Source organism: Homo sapiens, chromosome 7, assembly GCF_000001405.40.
Source record: "Homo sapiens chromosome 7, GRCh38.p14 Primary Assembly".
Lineage (NCBI taxonomy): Eukaryota > Metazoa > Chordata > Mammalia > Primates > Hominidae > Homo > Homo sapiens.
The window spans coordinates 89,623,418-89,629,142 of NC_000007.14; the positions used below are offsets into that span (position 1 = coordinate 89,623,418).

A 5,725-nucleotide genomic window follows, 5' to 3' on the forward strand; every position below is an offset into this window, starting at 1 on the left:
TTGCATGAAAATAATTATAAACTAGAAGTGCTAGCATTTCCAGATGAGAAGGAACCAGCATAAGAATTCTGACAAACATGAAAAATCTGAACACACTAACACCACCCAACTATCACACTGTCTCTACAGAAATGGTCCCTAAACAAAATGGAAACTGAGAAATGATAGACAAAGAATTCAAATCATAGATTGCAAGGAAGCTCAATGAGATCCAAGACAAGGTGGAAATCAACAACAAGAAAAAAAAACCTTCTAAACAATACAGGAAATGAATGAATAAATAAATATATTAAATTGAAAATTTCCCTTAAGGAATTTAAAAATATAACTGAAACCTTTATCAATTAATTGGACCAAACAGAAGAAAGAATTTCAGAACTTGACCAGTCATTCATGCTTACCTAGTCAGACAAAAATAAAGAAAAAAGAATTTAGAAAATGAACCATCTTCAAGAAATATGGAATTATGTAAGATGACAAAACTTGTGAATTATTGGCATTCCTGAGAGAGAAGGAGAAAAAGCAAAACTGGAAAATATATTTGAGGTAATAATTCAATTTTTTAAAATTTTGCTAGAGGTAGACATTTAGATACAAGACATCCAGAGAACATTCTTGGGATAATATAAAAAATGGACACTACACCAAGGCATATAGTCACCAGAGTGCTGAAGGGCAATGTTAAACAAAAAATCTAAAAGGCAACTATAGGAAAAGATCACATTACATACAAAGTTTTAGCTATGACTTCTAAATTTCTTTTCAAATAATCGATATGTTAGTATGTTCAATTCTTTACCTTCTACTTTTAAACTTAACTTCCTCATAAAGCAACCTTTTTCGATTACCTGCTCCACCCTGACTCATTTCAATCACCTGCTCCTCCCTGACTCATTCCGATTACCCTGCTCTGTCATAACCATTTTTCCCCACCAAACCACTCACTGAGTCACTCTCTTTAAATTAACCAATCAGAATTAGTTTAGCCTGTGTAGTCTAGCCCTAGCCAATAGGGGAATGACACAGCAGCAGGGGCCACGTATGTCAGGGATAAGAACCCCTTCCCCTCCCTTGTCCAAGTGTGCGCTCACCATTGCTCCATCTGTAAGGGTGCACCCTTCTATAGAAGTACCTTGCCTTGCTGAGAATTAAAAAGAAAAATTTATATTCAAGTGCTATTTATTTTGTGGCACCGAAACTTTATATATAACAATTTGGGGGCTCGCCCACAATTACATTTCCCTCTGGGGATGGTCTCTGGTTCTCTCTCATGAGGAAGTACACACCCCGCTCCTTGTGGCAGCCTCAGGGGTGAGAAATCAGAACCCACCCAGTGCGAGGAATAACCTGAGCACTGAACAACGCAGAAAAAAGAAAAAAAGATTGGCCAGCAACCTAGCTTAAAGGATCCTGATACTGCTGCGATGACTCTGCGCACAGACCAAGGAAGGAGAAGCCACGGGAGCCGGTACAGTATTTCCCTGGTGGTCAGGACCCCCTCGGAGGGGGGTGTGGTGGTGAAGTACTCCTTGGTTGGGGTGGCTTAGAGGTTAAAAAGCGGCGAGACGTCTCCACTGGGGGGGTTTCAACCTCACATGAACCTCCAGTAGTAGAAAAGGCAAGAAATTTCCAGTGGGGAAATTGAGCCTCACCTCAAAAAGGCAAGAAATTTCCAGCGGGGAAATTGAGCCTCACCCCAAAAGGTGAGAAATTTCCAGTAAGGGAAATTGAACCTTGAACCTTATCCCAAACCATCAAGATGGGAAATACCCCAAGCAAGACAGGGAGCAAGGGGGATAAAGATGGTAACAAAGATATCCCCCCAGGTAGCCCCCTAGTCTCATGCTAAAACACTGGAAGGATAATAAAAGGACTAAACAGAGGAAAAAGCAACAAATGATAAAATATTACTGTTTTATTTGGACTCAGACCCATCCTCAAACCCTCAATATTCTGGCCAAAGTTTGGGTCGAATGAGTATGTGATGTGTAAGCTTCTAATCCGATATGTTAATGATAAAAGTCCAGTGTCTCAAGAGGAACTAGGCTATGCCCTTTGTTGGAGGCAAGGACCTGCTCTCCTTTTCTCCCTTAAAAACAAATAGGGAAAAACCCAATCTGGCACCTCAAAATGAAAAGTCAGAGGAGCCAGCTGTCATGCCTAAAGACTCCAGTGCATGGGATCCCCTAGACTATCTTCCCCCACTCAGTGTCCCCAATCTTTCCCCTCAGACAGCCACTGCCGCCTCAGATCCCATTCCAAATTCCCCCTCTACTCACATTATCCCTCCTCGTTATAACCCTGACTCTTAGGAATTACTGTCCCACCACCTGTTCCCTACCAACCTAAAGACCCTTCTCTAAAAGGATCCCAGCCTCCATCTGGAGAACCAAGGTCCTTGTCTACCAGGCCCCCTAAAGAGTATGGGGGAGCAGGGTTAAAGAATTCCAGAACTAAGAGGGAGGAAGGACAAGATAGGTGCTATAGACGTGGAAGAACAGGCCACTTCAAGAGAGGATGTCCTGAACAAAGAAAGGAGAAAGAAGCCCTTCCACTCATGACTTTCAAGGAAGAATGGGGGGTCAGGGGCTCTATCTCTTTTATCCTGAGTCCCACCAGGAGCCCTTGATAAATTTGGAGGTGGGACCTAAACATGAGCTTATCACCTTTTTAGTCGATTCAGAGTTTGCTCGCTCCTGTGTTTGTTTCCCCCCGTCTAATGTTGTCTCCTCCTCAGAGGAACTTAGTCTCTGGGGTAAAAGGGGAAGGAGAGGGGAGAACAGCAGCATAAGCAGCTGGCAGAGGCAGGGAAAGACCAGCAGAGAGGAAAGAGAGAGAGAGAGAAAGGAAGCAGAGAGAAAGAGAGGAAAAACAGAAACAGAGAGAAAATGAGTGGCAGAGAGAGAGGAAGACAGAGACAAAGAGGGAGTCAGAGAGAAAGAGAGAGACAGAGTCAAAGAGAGAAAGAAAGAGAGAGACATAGAAGTAGTAAAGAGAAAACAATGTACCCTATTCCTTTAAAAGCCAGGGTAAATTTAAAACCTATAATTGATAATTAAAGGTCTTCTCCGTGACACTATAACACTCCAATACCACCTTGTTGTCAGTATAAACGAGGGCATAGCCCGAAAGCACTGAGGCCACTGACAACCCGTAGCCTTCCTAATCAAAAATCCTTAACCCGGTAACCCAGGATGGCCCACATGCATTTAATCTGTAGTGGCAACTACTTTGCTAGCAGAAGAAAGTAGAAAAATAGCTTTTAGAGGAAACCTCATTGTGAGCACACCTCACCAGTTCAGAACTAGCCTAAGTCAAAAAAAAAAAGGAAAAAGGAAAAAGGTAGCTTACCAACTCAAAAATCTTAAAAATCTTAAAGTATCGGGCTATTCTGTTAGAAAAAGACGATTTAACACTAACCACTGAAAATTCCCTTAACCCAGCAGGTTTCCTAACAGGGGATCTAAATCTTAATTACCATACAAAGTTCCGACCAGACCTAGGAGGAACTCCCTTCAGTACAGTACCATAGATAGATGGTTCCTCCCAGGTGATTGAGGGAAAAAGACACGATGGGTATTCAGTAATTGATCGGAAAACTCTTGTAAGAGCAGAGTTAGGAAAATTGCCTAATAATTGGTCTGCTCAAATGTTTGAGCTGTTTGCACCCAGTCAAGCCTTAAAGTATTTACAGAACCAGGAAAGAACCATCTATACCAATTCTAAGTTAATTTGGACTAAACAAGGTCTTATTAATAACGAAAGATAATTGAAATCCCAAACTTACAAGGTTTTCAACAAAAGTAAAATTTGCTACAAGTTAACAGTGTAACATATATTACCCTAACTTCTAATCTTGTGGCCTTAGGCAGTCTAGTCCACAGACATGAAGGAAGTTCGCCTTGGAAAAGAATGGTTATCATCTTTGGAAAAAAAAAAAAAGGGAGAATTTATGTAAAAAGAATGTTATATGGTAAATTATTGTCCTAAAAAATTAACTGGTTGTTTAAAGAAAGGGATGTTTGCAACAAGTCAGAAAGTTGAAGCGTGTTGAAGAATTGTCTGTGAAAGTCGTGGAAAAATAAAACTGTATTGTAAAAGGGAATTTATGCAAGAAATGTATAATTTAAAAGTAATTAGGCCTCCTGAATGTAAAACTATTAAAGAAACAGTTTATGTGAAAGGTGTATAAGGAAAGTAAAATATACTTTTGGTAAAAGGATTATACGGAGGCATAATAATGTGGATTTTTATCTACATTAAAAGGTTAAAAAATGTTCTGTTTTGAAGGTTTAAGCAAGTTTTAAAATGTTAATTGTAAAGGAAATTCTGTGTGTAAACATATTGGCTAAAGTTAAAAAGGTATCATCCAGTTTTTCTGTGAATTGGACATTAAAATTAAAGCACAACAGATTTTTCTTAAAGCACTAACTTGCTCTTTAACAAAAATTATAAAAGGTTAAAAGCAGTCTATAAAAAATCTTACCTTATGGTTAGATGTTAAAATTAAATAAATATGTCTATAAGATTTTTTTAAAATTGAGTTTAACATTAAAAACACACTAATACAAAGGTGAAATTTAGCTTATCTGGTATAAAAATCATACAGGAAGCATTGTTAAATATAAAGTGGTGTTTGGCTTTCTTTGGTCTAAAAACTAATAAAAATAGGTGCTAAAGGAAATTTCTCAGTAAGAAGGCACCAAAGACTATAAAGTCCACTGCTGATGTCCCCATATTTAAAACAAAAGATCAATTTCTTAGAAATTATATACTTGGTTTATCTTCCCCTTTCCTTTCCCTCAAAACTAAAAGTCTTTCAGCACAGGTACCACCCCTAGAATTTCCAGTAAGCCAGCACCAGCTTGAAGATCATTCTCATCAAAGGGTGGAAAGAAGGAAAAGTTGAGCCAGCCTGGGAAGGACCCTACCTTTTGCTGCTAACCACTGAGACTGCTGTTCATACAGCATAAAGGGGATGGACTCATCACATCCAAGTCAAGAAAGCGCCGCCCCCTCCAGAGTCGTGGGCCATGGTCCCAGGGGAAAAACCCTACCAAACTAACGCTAAAAAAAAATTTAACTCTCTTTCTTCTACGCTATTACTCTTTCTTCTTTCCTCACTCTATTGCTGACCAACTAGTTATTAACATAACCAAGTCAATTTTGCCTCAAACTATTGCATTTAATGCTTGCCTTGTTATACCCTGTGGGGACCTGCCAAGTCAAAGACCGCTCTCTACTTCAGAAAAGCACCTCTGTCCCTCCTGACTCTCCTCAGACTGGGCACTAGTGAATTGGGACCATTTAATCCAGGGAGATTTCAATAAAGACCCCAGTGTCAACCAGGAGTCTTGCTCCCCAATCTAGAGCTTTTATGCCATAGTTAGTCCAACGTTCTGTGGACCACTAAAGAACAACAATGGACTGCCCCAACCAGTTTTTGTAGTTTCCTAAAACCATACATTCATTTTACTAGAGGGACAGCCCTCCCCGCTAACTGTCGGCTAAACCAGTGTAATTCTATATGGGTTATTATCTCAAACCTTCAAAGTTCTTCCCCTTTTCTAAGCCGGTTCCCTTCTTTAAGCCAGTTTTATGGTATGGGGACTGAGGTTTCAGGGACAAACCCTGTTAGATTCTTTGAAGTGCATTTCTTTGATCCCCCACCACCTGCACCTTCCTCTAAGCCTTCTTCCAAAACCTCTTACAATGGAACAATTGT

The 5,725-nt window shown here is 39.9% G+C and overlaps 1 annotated feature.

Moving 5' to 3' along the window:
* Positions 423-1,622: an enhancer, noted in NCBI's record as "CDK7 strongly-dependent group 2 enhancer chr7:89253154-89254353 (GRCh37/hg19 assembly coordinates)". NCBI's record gives its function as "activates an origin of replication core promoter dependent on BRD2, BRD4, P300/CBP, MED14 and CDK7 cofactors, with strong dependence on CDK7, by STARR-seq in HCT116 cells {active_cell/tissue: HCT116}" and the evidence as "EXISTENCE:reporter gene assay evidence [ECO:0000049][PMID:35650434]".